The sequence below is a fragment of the Homo sapiens genome, chromosome 1 (assembly GCF_000001405.40).
Source record: "Homo sapiens chromosome 1, GRCh38.p14 Primary Assembly".
Lineage (NCBI taxonomy): Eukaryota > Metazoa > Chordata > Mammalia > Primates > Hominidae > Homo > Homo sapiens.
This window is the reverse complement of record NC_000001.11, coordinates 110,013,785-110,031,316: the sequence shown is the minus strand read 5'-3', so window position 1 is coordinate 110,031,316 and position 17,532 is coordinate 110,013,785. Positions and strand designations below refer to the sequence as shown.

At 41.6% G+C, this 17,532-nt stretch overlaps 1 protein-coding gene across 7 annotated transcripts in view, besides 2 other annotated features; it reads right to left on the bottom strand.

Annotated features, from left to right (window-relative positions):
- Window positions 31-170: an enhancer, noted in NCBI's record as "active region_1459". NCBI's record gives its function as "activates an Ori minimal core promoter by ATAC-STARR-seq in GM12878 lymphoblastoid cells {active_cell/tissue: GM12878}" and the evidence as "EXISTENCE:reporter gene assay evidence [ECO:0000049][PMID:35858748]".
- The window catches only part of AHCYL1 (adenosylhomocysteinase like 1), a 38,978-nt gene continuing 29,020 nt past the window's right edge, over window positions 7,575-17,532 (bottom strand). For 5 of the 7 annotated variants that reach the window (NM_001242673.2, NM_006621.7, NM_001242674.2 and 2 more), the window contains 12 exons: window positions 16,460-16,554; window positions 15,786-15,892; window positions 14,857-14,973; window positions 14,587-14,650; window positions 13,734-13,822; window positions 13,301-13,371; window positions 12,850-12,944; window positions 12,667-12,765; window positions 12,198-12,266; window positions 11,691-11,769; window positions 10,466-10,586; window positions 7,575-9,643 (listed from right to left, as the gene is read on the bottom strand). In NM_001242673.2, coding sequence (NP_001229602.1) covers window positions 9,637-9,643; window positions 10,466-10,586; window positions 11,691-11,769; window positions 12,198-12,266; window positions 12,667-12,765; window positions 12,850-12,944; window positions 13,301-13,371; window positions 13,734-13,822; window positions 14,587-14,650; window positions 14,857-14,973; window positions 15,786-15,892; window positions 16,460-16,554 — 1,013 coding nt within the window. In that variant the 3' untranslated portion in view covers window positions 7,575-9,636. Of the gene's footprint in view, window positions 9,644-10,465; window positions 10,587-11,690; window positions 11,770-12,197; window positions 12,443-12,666; window positions 12,766-12,849; window positions 12,945-13,300; window positions 13,372-13,733; window positions 13,823-14,586; window positions 14,651-14,856; window positions 14,974-15,785; window positions 15,893-16,459; window positions 16,555-17,532 lie in introns of those variants that run through there. The other 2 variants (XM_011540535.3, XM_047440112.1) reach the window with 2 other exon arrangements.
- Window positions 12,100-13,299: an enhancer, noted in NCBI's record as "BRD4-independent group 4 enhancer chr1:110560640-110561839 (GRCh37/hg19 assembly coordinates)". NCBI's record gives its function as "activates an origin of replication core promoter dependent on BRD2, P300/CBP, MED14 and CDK7 cofactors, and independent of BRD4, by STARR-seq in HCT116 cells {active_cell/tissue: HCT116}" and the evidence as "EXISTENCE:reporter gene assay evidence [ECO:0000049][PMID:35650434]".

Below are 17,532 nucleotides of genomic sequence, written 5' to 3'. Positions count from 1 at the left end.
AAAGGGGGAGGCATGAATAATCCACCCGTTGTTTAGCATATAATCAAGAAATAAGCATAAAAATGGGCAACCAGCAGCCCTCGGAGCTGCTCTGCCTGTGGAGCAGCCATTCTTTTATACCTTCACTTTCATAATAAACTTACTTTCACTTTACCCTATGGACTTGCTCTGAATTCTTTCTTGTGAGAGATCTAAGAGCCCTCTCTTGGGGTCTGGATTGAGACCCTTTCCTGTAACATTTTCAGCCATGGTGGCATGCGCCTGTAATCCCAGCTACTCAGGGGGCTGAGGCAGGAAAATCGCTTGAACCTGGGAGGCAGAGGCTGCAGTGAGCCGAGACTGCACCATTGCACTCCAACCTGGGTGACAGAGGAAGACTCTGTCTCCAAAAAAAAAAAAAAAAAAAAGAAAGAAAGAAAGAAAGAAAGAGAAAAGAGAAAACTATAAAGCATTGTTTGTTTTGTTTGTTGGTTTGTTTTTTTAAAAAAAGGAGAATTATTACCAAGAGGTGATACCCAAGGTGAGAAGCCCTTCCTTCACCACGAGCAGTCATTGTTCAAGAGACTGGAGGAAGAAATTTCCTATTTGAGCCATTCTAGTATTGCAGGAGTTGCAAGAACATAGTGGCTGCTCCAGTTGGGCTCTGTAGAAGGAAACTGGCATGTATTCTGTGCCTACAGGGTGTCAGGTACTGGGTAAGATGTTTCACATTCATTGATACCTAAGTATATGCTGGGATGCAGAGTGAGCCTGTTTCTAGCAATTTCCATCCTAGCCCTGGACTGTAAATACATTGCTGGTCACTGAAATGCTCAGTATTAAAGTAATCTGTATAGCATATAAAACATCTGTGGGTCCAGTCTTACCCTCTAGTTACTGTGTCACATGGAGTTCTCTCCATTAATGGTTATGAGAAGAGGATAATATTAATAATGTTTTGGTTAATTAACTAATAGGGCAGATAACTAATAGTTAATTCTGTCTTCCAAAGGGACCAGCCAGCTTCACTCTGTCTCAGGTCAGATTAACTTATAAAATCTCAGCTTTCTTATATAAACATGAATTAGTCAAAAGACTAAGTCAAAGCTGGTCATGGTAGCTCATTCCTGTAATCATAGCGCTTTGGTAGGCCAAAGTGGAGGGATCACTTGAGATCAGGAGTTTAAGACCAGCCTGGGCAACATAGTGAGACCTGATCTCTACAAAAAAATTATAAAATTAGGCATTGTGGCGCGCCTGTCATCCCAGCTACTCAGGAGTCTGAGGTGAGAGAATCGCTTGAGCCCAGGAGTTCTGGGCTGCAGTGAGCTGTGATCCTGCCATTGTACTCCAGCCTGGGAGAAAGAGCAAGACCCTGTCTCTAAACAGAAAAACTTTTTTAAAGATTAAGTCAAAGTATTATGTAATATACTGTGTCTTTAACTATTTCCTAAACACCTGGGAAATTCTCAATTTCAAAACATAGGAGATTCAGAGAAAGAATTCCAGACCTGTATTTTATTATCCTTTGTTGGCAAGAGACCCTGACAACCAGATCACATGAGAAAACGCGCCATCTGGTGGTTGTAGTGGAGAGCTACGCCACAAGACAGCCAGATGAGGAAGAAAGGCCTGGATCAAAGACAAGTACCCTCAGGGCCACAACCCAGGACAATTCCTTCTGGAGGACATTTTAAAATGTCTTCAAAGGTCGGGCGGGGTGGCTAACGCCTGTAATCCCAGCACTTTGGAAGGCTGAGGCGGACCGATCACCAGGTCAGGAGATCGAGACCATCCTGGCTAATGCAGTGAAACCCCGTCTCTACTAAGGACATTTTAAAATGTCTTCAAAGGTCGGGCGGGGTGGCTAACGCCTGTAATCCCAGCACTTTGGAAGGCTGAGGCGGGCCGATCACCAGGTCAGGAGATCGAGACCATCCTGGCTAATGCAGTGAAACCCCGTCTCTACTAAAAATACCAAAAAAAAAAAAAAAAAAAAAATTAGCCAGGCGTGGTGGCATGCGCCTGTGGTCCCAGCTACTCGGGAGGCTGAGGCAGGAGAATCGCTTGAACCTGGGAGGTGGAGGTTGCAGTGAGCTGAGATTGCACCACTGCACTCCAGCTTGGGCAACAGAGTGAGACTTCTCAAAAAAATAATAATCATAAAATAAAATGTCTTCAAGGGCTGCCTGTGTGGACAGATGAGATGCTATTTCAGCTTAATAAATTAATATTCAATATATTAAAGTAACAAAAACATTACTTAAGCTTTTCAAAGTTCAGCTTATAGGCCAGGCGCGGTGGCTTGCACCTGTAATCCCAGCACTTTGGGAAGCCAAGGCGGGTAGATCACTTGAGGTCAGGAGTTCAAGACCAGCCTGGCCAAGATGTTGAAACCCCATCTCTACTAAAAATACAAAATCTTAGCTAGGAGTGGTGGTGCATGCCTGTAGTTCCAACTACTCAGGAGGCTGAGATGGGAGCATCGCTTGAACCCGGGAGGCAGAGGTTGCAGTGAGCCAAGATCACGCCACTGCACTCCAGCCTGGATGACAGAGAGAGACTCCGTCTCAATAGAAAAAAAAAAAAGTTCAGCTTATAAATCTTATTGTAAAAACCCAGCAAATATTAATGACTTCTAAGGGGTTTTGAATACCCCACTTAAAAACTTAAACTCCTTTAAACCCTTTCAAATATGTTTATACATTTAATATATTAAGTTACCTTTTGGGATTACTTCAATTGTCTGGCACAAAATACAAACAAAATAAAAGCAAACAAAATACTATTCTTTTTTCTTTCTTTTTCTTTTTCTTTTTTTTTTTTTTAATTTGAGACAGAGTTTTGCTCTTGTTGCCCAAGCTGGAGTGCAATGGTGCAATCTCAGCTCACTGCAACCTCCGCCTCCTGGGTTCAAGCGATTTTCCTGACTCAGCCTCCCAAGCAGCTGGGATTACAGGCACATGCCGCCACACTCGACTAATTTTTTGTATTTTTAGTAGAATCGGGGTTTCACCATGTTAGCCAGGCTGGTCTCGAACTCCTGACCTCAGGTGATCCGCCTGCCTCGGTCTCCTAAACTGTTGGGGTTGCAGGCATGAGCAACCATGCCTGGCCAAAATACTATTCTTAAAAGTTCTGATACTGTGTACTTATATGTTTCCAATACATAATATAAATTTCCAATACTGTATGTAAAATTGGTTGCAACTTAAAATTGCAAGTTTAAATTGATTACTCAAGTACATATTCTAAATTGCAATAACAATTACCTTCCCAAGCACTATCTGAGTTGCTTTATCAGTTTGCTGAGATTTCCTAATCCTAAAGTGAATCCTGGCCAGGATGCAGGTGAATTTAGCATCTGCAACCTAGACTGGAAAACTCTTTGATATCCTTTTCTTTCTAATATGTTCATTCTCTGTTTCTGCTCTCACACAGAGATCCCTCTTCTTACCTAACAGACTGCAAATCAGACACATTCTGATACATCTTTCCCTTCATACTTGACACAACCTTTATACCTGGGATCAGCAAACTTTCTGTAAAAGGCCAGATAGTAAGCATTTTGGGTTTTGTAGGCCATTTGTTTGCACCTATTCAACTCTACCACTGTGGCATGAAAGTAGCCATAGACATTTCATAAATCAATGAGTGGGGCTGTGTATAAAAGTTCCATTTTTGGACACTAAAATTTGAATTTTATATAATTTTCACATGTCACACAATATTGGTGATTTTTTTTCCAACTGTTTAAAAATGTAAAAACCATTCTTAGCTTGTGAACTACACAAACACAAGCGGTAGGCTGGTTTGGCTGGTGGGAGAGCTATAATTTTGCCAACCATTGCTCTAACCCAGTGTTTCATACCCAGTTAGCAGAGAAGTACCGACGTTAATTCTTCTTTTACGTTCTTTCAAAATTTACAAATTTCTCTAGAAATGTCCTGAATTCAGAAGTTATTTGGTGGGGAAGACTTTGTTCAGTATCCATAACCAAGGAACACTCTGGAGTAGTTTCTTGCAACCCCACTCGTCACTTTTTTTTTTTTTTTTTTTTTTGAGACAGGGTCTCACTCTTCCACCCAGGCTGGAATGCAGTGGCGTGATCAGGGTTACACTGCAGCCTTGACTTCCTGGGCTCAAGCAATCTTCCCACCTGAGCCCTCAAAGTAGCTGGGACTACAGGCGTGCAGCACCACACCCGGCTAATTTTTTAAATGAGTCTCACTAATGTTGTGTAGGCTGGTCTCAAACTCCTGAGCTCAACCAGCCCTCCCACCCTGGCCTCACAACATGCTGGGATTACAGGAGAAAGCCACTGTACCGGCCTCCACTTTCTTGTCGAACCCCCAGGTCTGTGTATTACTTTAGTTGTGACGTATTGTCAATGAAATACTTTTTTTGTATAGACATGTGAAATACTGTTTTTCTGTTGATTTTTATTCTCCTTTACTAATCCAAAAGGCTTCACCTTTATTTTTGGTCTAAGATGTCCCTAAATAGAGCACAATTGATTTTTAAAATTTTCTTGATCAAGCTGGTCTGACTTTTTTATCTTCAAATTCTCATTGAACAAAATTTTAACTTTGAAATAATCAAACTAACAAAAAAGTAGCAAGTATATTACAAATAATTTTTTTCCGGACCCATCTGAAAGTGAATTGTTGACTTGATAACCCATCACTTCTAATACTTTAGTGTTGATTTCCTACAAACAAGCATTCTCTATAACCACAGTTCAGCCATTAACATTTGGAAATTAACAGATATTACTATCGTCTCATCCTCCAAGCCCTTTCAAGTTTTACCAGCTGTCCCAATAAGGTCCTTTGTATCTTTATATAGCAAAATGAACAAGTTCAGGATAGCATTTAGTTGTTGTATTAGTCTCCTGCAGTTCTTCAGTCATTCTTTGACTTTGATACTTTAGAATATTATAGGCCAGTCCTTTTGTAAAGTGTCCTTCAATGTGGATTTGTCATAGAAGGGATGCTGGCCGGGCGCGGTGGCTCACGCCTGTAATCCCAGCACTTTGGGAGGCCGAGGCGGGCGGATCACGAGGTCAGGAGATCGAGACCATCCTGGCTAACACGGTGAAACCCCGTCTCTACTAAAAATACAAAAAATTAGCCGGGCGTGGTAGCGGGCGCCTGTAGTCCCAGCTACTCGGGAGGCTGAGGCAGGAGAATGGCGTGAACCCGGGAGGCGGAGCTTGCAGTGAGCCGAGATCGCGCCACTGCACTCCAGCCTGGGCGACAGAGCGAGACTCCGTCTCAAAAAAAAAAAAAAAAAAAAAAAAAAAAAAGAAGGGATGCTGTGTTCTTCTCAAGCAACTTATCTAGATTTGTCTAGATCTTGTGAAGATCTAGATTTGTCCCATTACTGAAGTTCGTTTCTTTCCATTGATTAAGGTGGTCTGCCAGCCAGACTTCACTACTGTGAAGCTACTCTTTTCCCCATTATTTTATTTAAGAAATACTTTATGGAAGGCTACTTTGAAAGTATACATAGGCCAGGCACAGTGGCTCACGCCTGTAATCCCAGCACTTTGGGAGGCTGAGGCAGGTGGATCACCTGAGGTCAGGAGCTCAAGACCAGCCTGGCCAACATGGTGAAAGCCCATCTCTACTAAAAATACAAAAATTAGCCAGGTGTGGTGGCGGAAACCTGTAATCCCAGCTACTCGGGAGGCTGAGGCACAGGAATCGCTTGAACCCGGGAGGCAGAGTTTGCAGTGAGCCAAGATCATGCCATTGCATTCCAGCCTGGGCGACAGAGTGAAGCTCCATCTCAAAAATAAATAAATAAATTAGAAAAAAAGTATATACATATACAATTCCTCATTAAACTTCTGTTTACTTACTCATTCATTTCTATTAGCAGAGTCATAGTTTTCTATTTTGTTCAATGGATTACAAATCATTACTATGCTGATGCTCAGGTTGTCTCAGATTTACCCCATGTAAATCCCTTACAGCTGGCTTATGTATCCTTTTTTAAGGCCTTCCTTGCTTTCTGGTTTATCTTGTACTTTTTTTTGCTCTGCCATGGAATCAGTCATCTCTCCAACGAGTCCTGGCTTCTTTCGGTGGAGAATGTAGTGCCTAGACCTCGAGGTCAGGTATGTGCACTGGGGGAAGAGGGGAACTGCTGCTCCAAGGCTTGCTTAGTAGAGAGAGCTAGGGAGTGTTTGTACACACACACACACGTACATTGACATCTGTATTTCTTTAACTAGGTTGATATTTATGACTTCACACTATCATCTCCTATTCAAACCCAACAGCAGAGTTCATTCTAGTGTTTTCCCTTTCCAATGTGTAACACCTTCCTCCAAAATGAGACAGCTGGCTTCCGCTACCCTTAATATTTTCACGTACAGTGATCAAATCCCTTATCCCTAACTAATCTGCCATTGCCATTCATCCCCTGCATAGATGCATTCCCCACGCCACTTGGGATCTGACTCCTTGTACCAAGCTACATCCCCAGTTCCCACAAGGATACCACCCACACTCACAGGCTGCAAATCCACATGAATCCCTAGCTTGCTCTGTCTTACCTAATGGCCAAATTGTGGGTAAAGGAAAAAGGGAAGGAATTTGGATCTTGTTGGAATTTTACGTAAACACCACAAAGGAAGAGATCATCTGATTTAAACTGATGTATCCCCAGTATCTAAAACAGACTTTGGCATATATGAGGTAATAGTTAGGTCCTTTTTGCCCTTCTACCTTCTGCTATATGAGGATGCATAAGAGGTACCATCTTGGAAGCAGGCAGCAGCCCTCTTCAGACACCAAATCTGCCAACGACTTGACCTTGGACTTCCCAGCCTCCAACTGTGAGAATATCAATTTCTGTTCTTTATAAATTACTCAGTCTCAGGATTTTGCTGGAGCAGCAGAAACTGACCAAGATAAATACTTTCTTACATCAGAAGACACTGGCCAGTAATCCCAGCACTTTGGGAGGCAGAGGCAGGAGGATCACTTGAGCCCAGGAGTTTGAGATCAGCCTAGATTTCATGGCGAAACCCCATCTCTACCAAAAATACAAACAATTAGCTGACACTGTGGTCCCAGCTACTTGGGAGGTTGAGGTGGGAGGATCACTTGAGCCCGGAAGGCAGAAGTTGCAGTGAGCTGAGATCAAGCCACTGCACTCCAACCTGGGTGACAGTGAGACCTTGTCTCAAAAAAATAAAGAGAAAAAAAAAAAAAAAAGACACTGAGACCACTTCAGAAATGGATACAGGTGTGGGAGGAGGCTGAAGCTTACATAACTTTGGGGGCATTCTTCAGAAATTAGGTCTTAGAAGGACTATGCAAATGAGGAACCCTGAGGCTTAAGCAGCAAGTCTGCTTCCTGAAGGAAGTTAGGAGTGAAAGTACCCAGGCCCGGTGCTTGGCACAGAGCAGGCATACAAAACTTCAGGTATTACTTTGAAGAATCCTGTATCCAGCCTCTATATATTAGGCCCTCAACAAATCTCTATTAAATGCTACTGACCTATAACTTGTCACACCCTAGAAAACAGGTTCTAATGAAGTTTTGCTGTTTAACAAAGAATGACACATACGGACTGCCAATAAGGTCTTATCATTTTAATCGATTTTAATGATTATTGCTCATCTGCAAGGATTAATATTGCATTCATTAAAAATCATTCAATACAAAATGAACTTGTTCTTCCCAAGTTGCTCTCCACATGCTCCCTCTGATGCCAGACTTTTTTTTTTTTTTAACAGTGTCCTTTGTTACATGGCTTGACAGAGACAGAGCCCTTACCTATTATTCCTATGGACACGGTAATAGATATGGGATCAAGGGGCAGGTCAGAGGGCAGGTGAATGTGGGTCCCTTCCCTCCAGCAGGGCTAACGTGATGGATACACTGTTGGCCAGGTTACCTCCCCTAACAGATGTGGTGTTCTGATTGGTTGGTTAAGTGCCCGAGGAAAATAGGCCTTAACTGTTAACATCTACAGAGAAGAAAGCATGGTCACACTGGCAAGGAGTAAGAAGGGATTGGGTAAAAGAAAATGGGAGAGAAAAGGGAAAAAAGTTTTGGCAAGACAATTGTTCCCTGCTAAGAAGCTGCAGGGTGAAAGCTTTCCTTTCTTCTATTTTTGTTTTTAATGTCTGTCTCTCTGATCAGTGGAAAAGTGAAAATTTCTAGTATCTAGCACTAACGTATGACCCAACTTTGAGGGATCACAAGCTAGAACAAGTTGAGGATTTAAAATCCTGGATAATTATATACTTAAAGCTCATGAGCATAAAGCTCACTTGACCATGCAGAAATGCTGGGAAGCAGGGTGCATGGCATGGGAATACATCTCCCTGATCTTTGAGAGAGCCTCTCTGGATATTCTTTCAGAGCATGAGCCAGGATGTACTGACTACTTTCTTCACACATCAGTTGCCCTTTATGATCTCAGTTCATAAACTCTTTGTGGTATGTAGCAATCAAAAGTCATATTACTTCTGTAAAACTAACATTATATAGGGTGTATAGTCCCAGACAAATTATATGAAGCTAGATTTTTCTTGCCCTGGCCCAATTTATCATTCCTCCTCCTGCCCACACCTACCTCCCTTTAAATATTTTAGGTTGCAGAAGCACAGCTGACCAGAAATTTGCTCTTAAAGATAAATCCTAAAGATAGAACTCAGTGCTTTATACTGAGTAATGGCTCAAGAAATTCGCCTTCAGCACAAGCTGTATGGTACACAGCTGATAGAATTTGCTGTTGTGGCTCCAGTTCACTGATGCTATGAACTACGGGCTAGAAACAGAGGGACTTAACAGGGCTTGAGACTAGCATTTCTCTAGACTCAGCATCCTTAGCTCCAAAGGTTCAAAAGAGAAATTGGTAACAACTAACCACTCAAGCAATTCCTCAGCATTAACACCAAAAATTCTCCTTAATTTTTCTTTTCTTTTTTTTTTTTTTTGGACAACAGAAATAAATCCTAGAGGACAAAATTAAACTCAATAGAGTGTAGTCTAGTTAAAAACTCGAAAAATGAGCAAGTCTGGTGGGAGTGGAGGAAGGGCTATACTATAAATCCAAGTGGGCCTCCTGATCTTAACAAGCCATGCTCATTATACACATCTCTGAACTGGACATACCACCTTTACGCAGGAAACAGGGCTTGGAACTTCTAAGGGAAATTAACATGCACCACCCACATCTAACCTACCTGCCGGGTAGGTACCATCCCTGCTTCTCTGAAGAAGTGAAAGAGCACTGATTTCAGCAGCTAAGAAATGGGCTCTTTTAAGGCGATTTAGACATTGCAGATTGTTCCACAGAGAAGGTACCTTAGCATTTCCTGTTAATAAGGTACCTAATTAAGACTAAAGTCCCCAGAAATGGTAAAGAAAGAATCACCTTTCTGGGCTGGGAGAGTAAAATCCTTCTTTAGTGACTAGAGTGAGGAACCCTGAACTTCTATTTCATCTAAAGAGCCATGAAGCAAGTTCCTGTGTGGTCTGCAGAACTTGGATAATGAGATGAAAAAACAAGAATGAAATTATAGGAAAAAAATCAAGAGGAAAGGAGTAAGAAGAAAATAAAAGTTATCTTAAAAAATATTTCTTTAGAGTGTGTGGTTCAGGTGGACTGGTCCTTGGTAGTATGGTCCATTAGTATCTGTAAAGAGAGAGAGTGATTGGTTAACACTTATGTCTTCCATATGAGAATTCCAAAAAACAATCGGAAACAGAGCACCTTCTCCAGGGCCCCTCCCCAGCCTGGGTGGGATCCCTGCAGTCATTCCCCAGGGCACCAGTCTCCCTTATTCTTCCACAGGGTCTCTGACAATGCCATTTCTGGTGTTACCGCCTGTTCCCAGGAATGAGTCAGTGTTTTTTCAACCCTGACTAAACATTACAATAATCTGGGGAGGTTTTACAAAATAATGTTTTGTAAATTTGGTCCCATCGCAGACCAAATATATCAGAATCTCTTAGGGTGAGGCCCAGGCTCCAAAATTTCAAAAAAACCCTAACTCCCTGATATCTCCCACAATTTCTCTATCTACCTTGTTAACTGGAACAGTTTTTTTGTTTGTTTGTTTGTTTTTAAGACAGAGTCTCACTCCATCACCCAGGCTGGAGTGCAGTGGCATGATCCCAGCTCACTGCAACCTCCGCCTCCCAGGTTCAAGTGATTCTCGTGCCTCAGCCACCTGAGTAACTGGGATGACAGGTGCCCGCCACCACACCCGGCTAAGAGATAGGGTTTCGCCATGTTGGCCAGGCTGGTCTTGAACTCCTGACCTCAAGTGATCCATCCGCCTAGGCCTCTCAAAGTGCTGGGATTACAGGCGTGAGCCACCGTGCCTGGCCTGGAACAGATTTCTTGTATTCTTCAAAATCAGGTACAACATTTGATCTTTATGTCAGAAGCAGGCTAGCCTGCTTGGTTTAATACTGGGAAAAAGAGCTTTTCACTTGCTTCTCCCCAGGTTACCTGTAATAATTAGGTTTGAATGGCCCATTTTTGTTGAGTCCCAGATATTTTGCTTGGTCATCTGTCAGCTCTGTAAGGTGGGCATCAAATGATGGCAGATGCAAGCTGGCAACGTATTCATCTAGGAAGAGCAAAGTGGCAGGAGAGCAGACTCCTTTTCAAAATGTCTCTCAAGTTATAACTTCCCATTTTCATTTGAAGCTTTTTTAAGAAAGCAGACAAGGGATGGAATAACTCTGAAAGAATCCACAACTTGAAATATTTGCTTAATTAAAAAAAAAACCTCAAAGCTGCCTTTCTGGGCAGGATGCTTCTCTCAGCACATGTACAGTGCGTTCAGAAAAGCCACTTACCAGGGTAACAAAAGGGAGTGGGCTTTTACCTCTCTATCCTTCTCTGGCAAAGCAGGGGGCTTCCCTGCAGTGGCCCACATGTCACATGCTACTCCTACCTTCCTGCAGCAACCTCCTTAACTAGATTATAGTCAAATTAGCAATCAAAGTGGACACCAGTAAGCTAGAAAGACCCTGTGTCAATAACACTCATTTAGGATAAGATCCATGGATCTTAGGATCATGAATTTCTAAGGTAGTCGGCACAGAATTTTTACTTTTCCATAGATAAGCTTCCCTTTTATAATTATACACTGAAAAAAAAGTCTGAAGTAAGCTATTGGAGGAGAGGAGAGCAAGAAGTATTTTAGCATTAAGAAGTCAGGGATTTGGGCTAGCCAAGGAGATATGGGAGATGGGTACACCGTGCAGAAAGGCAAAGGACTAGAGATGATGTATTATGTCACATGAACACAGCATGGGTTGCTTACAAGAGATTGGATGGTTTGCATATCCTCACAGAAAATGGACAATAAAACCTGTGTTTGTTTCTCTCATTTTGTTCCAAGGCTGTATGTACTCAGCTGCACTGGGAAGTTTACTGAACTTCATAAGGCTACTTAGAGTAAGAACATCTCCCTAAACCATTGTGTTAAGCACTGTTACTCATTAGCTGTGATTCTCACACAATTCTACAATGTATGTAGTATTATTTTCATTTTACCAATCAAGAAACTGAGGATCATAGAGATTAGAACTTGTCCTGAGGTCAAACAACCAGTAAGCACAGGAACAGGAATTGGAACTCTGACTCTAAATCCAATGCCTTTCATGGCAGTCATTTTACCAAACTATGCAGCTGTCTGCATAGATTTCCACTGTTTTTCACTCACCCATTTTCTTAGGAAGCAAGTACACATCCTGCTTGTATCGCCCCTCGGGTGCATTATAGAGTTCTATCAGTGCCAAAGCCTAAGGTGGGAAAAGAAGGCCAGAAAGCACAAAAATATTTCTTAGACAGGCACATAAAAATAAAACCAGGTTAAACAGCATTTGGGTAAGTACTACAGTGATCTACCACAGTCACAGTACCTAGGACTTTGCCTATACTAAAGGGCAGCACACATCCTAAGAGGATTTGTTGTTTTTGTTTAGTTCCTAACGAAAGAACAAATCAAATAAAACTAAGCTGGAACATTATATTCTCAACTAAAACAGCCAATTCAACGAATACTGACTTAGTGACTCTTTTCTATACTTAAGAATACCTGTTTCCACAATTTATTACATCAAAAAAGAATAGGATGATGAGAACATAGTACAGTACACCCTCACTGGAACTGATCTACGCCCAGTTCCACAAATTGCAGTGCAGTGTAAGCAGGCATTTTGCCACATACCTGTGTTGTGGCTGTGATGGACAGAACAAAGGTGGGAACTGTGGAGCAGCTCAAATTGAGTAGACGACCCTGGAAAGGTAAGAGAGAGCCCTGGGATGAGCTCTGTCTCAGATTCCAATGGCATACAAGTCAAGCCAAAGCGGGAGAGGACTTTACACCCCTCTAGACTCAGTTGGAAGAGGAAGAATTACAGTTCCAGATCAGGACTCTAGGCTTTTTCCTATTTTCTGCAAATCCATCTGAGTCTGAAAGGTTAAAGAATCAGCTGTGGTTAGGAAATAGTGTTACTTAGTAAAAAGTAGATTTTTTTAAAGTGGTTTTATTTTGGGGACCAATTTGTGAAATATCTCTCTCTCCAAAGATAAAATTCAGGGAAACATAGGCCTAATATTTGTTTCCCTCCCCTCCCCCCTCATAGATCTAACTACTCTGCTTGTGCTGCTCTGCCAGGGTCCTTCTCTGTGTGTACCTCTGCCAGGAGGACAACTCGTTTGCCATCTGGCCAGATGACATGGTCCACCTGAGAACGTACTCGCTCCCACGTCAGCTCCGGAGTGCGGAGGCTGGTCTGAAAGGAAGAAAGCACAGTTGACTATGGTTATTAATGAAAGGTAGTAGAGAAATGCCTAGCAACAAATGAGAGAAGCCTTACCACATCGATTTCTGTGTTGGAGTGGCCCATATTGCATACGATACAACTGTTTTTCATGCGATCCAAGTGCTCCCGTGTCACTACATTCTTATTTCCTAAAAGAAAAGATGGGTGGTTAAGGAAAGAGATGCCGGGCAACAAAGGTACTGGCTGGCTTTCAGGTAGAACATAGGAGACCAGAGGCTTGCTGGCATTAAAGAACATGTAGACATTCTGAGAGAAGACATGCATAACCGCTCCTTAGGCTATCTGGTCTTCAGATCAAGCAGTATAAAAAGTCACCAGGGAAAAAAGTTTTTTACTCTGGAAAACATGTTAAGGTTCTGATAGCTTATTCTAGTTCTGAGACCTTTATACTGAACAGAGGTCTCACCTCCTTTGTATGAAAGTCACTCAGACTACTTTCAAGATTTAGCCTCTGAATAAACACTTCTCTATGCAAGTTATTTACCTGTGCAAGTTATTACGACATCGACTTGCCGGATGACTTCATTTAGCTTTACCACCCTGAACCCATCCATGCTGGAAGAAAAGAAAGGAACACTATGAGTAAAGCAAGAAGGCAGTGGGAGGGAAGATGGTCATGAAATGAGACAAGATCCCCTTCTAGTTGGATCCAGTGCCACCTCACAGGAATGGTGAGTGATAAGCTCTGCTAAACTATATACACTGGCCTCTTCAGAGTCCCCAAGACTCCCTCTAGGAAGGAAAAATGCCAAGAGGCTCTCAGAGAGCCCTAGGGTTAGAGTGAGAAGAACAGAGCAGTCCTAGCCTTCTCTTCCCCTAGGTGATTTCTGCAAAAATGATTAATATACTCAATTATGAACTCTCAATAACATAAAGCACCTAGAGTGAATCTAATAGTATTATCACTCTGTTCTTACCAGGCCTGCAGAGCACAGATGGGGTCGATTTCGGTAATGTAGACAATTGCTCCAAGAGCTTTGAGAGCAGCACAGCAGCCCTTGCCTACCTGCAGAACAAAAGAAAGGTCAAGTCGTTAGGTTCATTAAGTCATGGATATTTAGGGTAGGTAGGTTATTTGTGAGACAGGAATTAACCTTCATGAAATAGCCTGTCATCTGGTGAGCAGCTGCACAGACGCTCCAATCCCAAGCAGAACAGAAACAGACCCAGATTACGTTGTGAACCTCAGTTAGAGAGGTAATTTAGCAGACATGTCATAGGAAGGACTGGGGCTTTGCATAGCAGTTTTCATCAGGGAAACAAGACTAAGCAAAAGCAACTTACTCTAAGCAACCTCTAATTTCCTATTCTCTTACTTGAGAAGAATCTACTCAAGGATACCCTCGTAGCTCAGGAACTTCTTTGGGTCATTGCTGAAGACAACAAAATATGTGACCTATTCCAGTTTGGAGATATTCAACTATATGCCATTTCAGATTCCACCCTTAATTCTACTGCAAGTCACTTGTGGGGCTAAAATGCTATATATTCACTTGAATTAAGTCTCATTAAAGGTTATTGTTATAATTGGGGAAGATGATACTAGTATCTATTCCACAAGGCAAAATGGTAAAATCTGAAAACTCAATTCATTTTGTATGTTTCTATTCATAAATCTGAATAAAAGGCTTTTGCTATTGTTTGAGATACATTATCTAAAAAAATTTAAACCTTGTATCAGTGACTCTAGATTGACAGCACAAGCCTCCTTTACCCAATATTTCTAATAAGTACACAAAAAGAAAGAGACACTGAGACCCAGCTATTTACCTCACCATAGCCACACACCACCACTTGTTTCCCACCAAACATCACATCTGTGGTCCTCTTCAGGCTGTGGAAACAGACAAGGGCTCAACTCAAACGTTAATAGCTCAAACTCAGTCCCTCTTCACAAAGTTAAAAGTGTGGGCCAATGCCCATGAGAATATCAATTGGAAGCTGGTTGAGCTCAGTATGAAATGGTCCCTCTAATAAACTTTTAAAGCCAAAGGAAGACCAGAGCCCCTAGAAGTTTGAATATATATACATTCAACCTACCCATCCAAAATGGATTCTCGGCAGCAGTACAAGTTATCAAACTTCTGTTTGGTAACAGAATCATTGACGTTCATGGCCGGAACACAGAGCTTCCCAGCTTTGGAGAGCTGATACAGCCTAAAGAGAGAAGAGGTCACAAAAACAAACAAAAACCAAGTTAGCTGGCACAACATAATTTGTGGCAAAATCTGCCTAATTCTCTTCAAGTTCCATGCTGCCCTTCCCAGTCTCATTTATTGCCCAAGGATATTAGAAAACATGATTATTTCCTTGTCATCCCTCCACACTTCTTTTCATTTTCTTCTCCCTTTACCCCTTTTTTGGAAGAAAAAAAAAAGCCTTTCAATTGAAGAAATGTACTTCTCTTCCCTTTATAGGGAGTGTTATTTCCTTTGATCAGCATTTTTCAATAGAAACCCATGCCTACTTCTGATAAACAAAGACTATCAATGATTCTGATATGGTTCCGTGTGTGTGTGAGTAAGCATGCGCAATGTGCCCCCAAGAAACACTCTTTCAGATATCTTTTCAGTATTCCAACAAGCCAAGAATATTTTGCCCAGTTTTACTTTTTGTAGTGTGTATAACATGTAGTTTTACAATAGGATTGTTTTTCATATTTCAAATATAAAATGATAATACAATATTGAATACAGTTTTTCAAGATACATTTATTCCCTACCCGCCCCTCAACACTAGTTGAGAATCACTCAATGGAGTAAATGGGAGAGAAAAATGTATGAACTAGAACCTGAAATAACTTCCTTCTAGGATCAACTTGATTTTTCAAAAGTAAAAACTCAAAATTTTATCTAATGAAGATATTCCCATTTAGTTATAAGTCTGAAACACAGTCCTAAAGCCTAACAGAGACCAGGAGAGTTTGCTGAGGCAAGGACACAAGGGGCAGCTACTCCAGAATCTGTTACCTGTGAACACCAGTCACGCTCTCTTCCACAATGCCTCGGATCTTCTTAAACACGTTTGGATACTTCTTATAAACCCAGTGGGTTAAGTCTCCCCCATCATCCAGGATCTATAGAACAGCCAGAAGACTTCTATGGGCATTCAGGCTGCTAGGGCTGGGGGGAACTTTGAACCCACTTTCTGTACTAGTAAGAGAGCCCTGTATGTTTTGGAAGAGTACTCCTCAGAGCTCCCTAGAGCAGGCTTAGAGAGTGGAAATACAGTCAAATTTGTTGGTGTAAAATGGTTAAAAGGATTCCTAGGTTTGCTTTAGGCTACAGTGATGAGTATTAAGCTAATCACAGACTCATTTTTAGTCTAGAGTCTTGAAATATATAGCCCCTTTGAATGCAAAAGGAGAACTGGGGCAGGAAGGAAAGAAAGCAGAATCCTACTCCAAAGAAGCACCACTATTTTGTTCTGGTGTGTTTGAGCCATGTGTTCAGCTAGTCTTACCCTTCCCCCACCTTTCCATTCAGTACTCAGACCCATTCTGAATAGGTATCAAGCTAAACACTTTAGCAACAAAGTCAGTGCATAAGACCAAACATCCAAAACATATTTAGGGAACCATGCTTTGAGGGAAAAAAAGGAAATAAATCTATTGTCAAAGTGTAGGATGTATATGCATTATTACCATGTTGGCCTGCCACCCATCCATGTTCACACAGCGGTCAATACACCACCAGAAGTCATCTTCTGACTCGCCCTTCCAAGCGAACACTGCAACTCCTGTAGAGACAGAAATGAATCAGCTGATTCCTCCTTTGAGGAGTGTCCTGTACCAAATCACTTTCTGAGATCCATGTGAAGAGAAAAAGGCAAAAGAAACAATTTCAGAAGGGAAAAAATTCAGAGCCAAAAGTCAAAGAATCACTTTTGGTTCAGAAATTAATTAGGTTAAGAAATTAAGGAATTTTTGCTTTAAAAGTAGTTTGGAACCTTAAAGTGTTCCTTTCTCTGGACTAATTTTATACTTAGAAGGAGATAAAATGAAGTGGGAATTAATAAAAGTTGTTAACTGGAGCATTATTGATATTAGTAAACATCTTGAAACAACCTAAATGTTCTCCATTAGGAAAATAGTGAGGTGAAATCACATAGCCATATGAATGACTATTACAAATGATGCTGTCAAAGTTTTCAGTGACATGGAAAACTACGTCTGAAAATATTGTATTTAGGTTATAAAACTGTATACATATTAGAATTTATGTAAAGTAGAAGAAAGGAAAAGGAAAAACATTAATCAAATACTCTATGTAGTGGGATTGTAGGGTTTTGGGGAACTTCCTAAATTTTTTGCAGTGAACACTTATCAGAAAAGAATAAACAAAAAAACCCAAAAGTATTATAAAGTTGCTTTCTGAGGATCTTAAAAAGATGAGAGGTCCGGCTGGGTGTGGTGTCTCACGCCTGTAATCCCAGCACTTTGGGAGGCCAAGGCAGGCAGATCACTTGAGGTCAGGAGTTCGAGACCAGCCTGGCCAACATGGTGAAACCCCATCTCTACTAAAAATACAAAAATTAGCTGGGTGTGGTGGCATGCCACTGCAATCCCAGCTACTCAGGAGGCTGAGGCATGAGAATCACTTGAACCCAGGAGGCAGGGGTTGCAGTGAGCCGAGACTGCGCCATTGCACTCCAGCCTGGGCAACAGAGTAAGACTCCATCTTAAGAAAAAAAAAAAAAGAAAGAAAGATGAGAGGT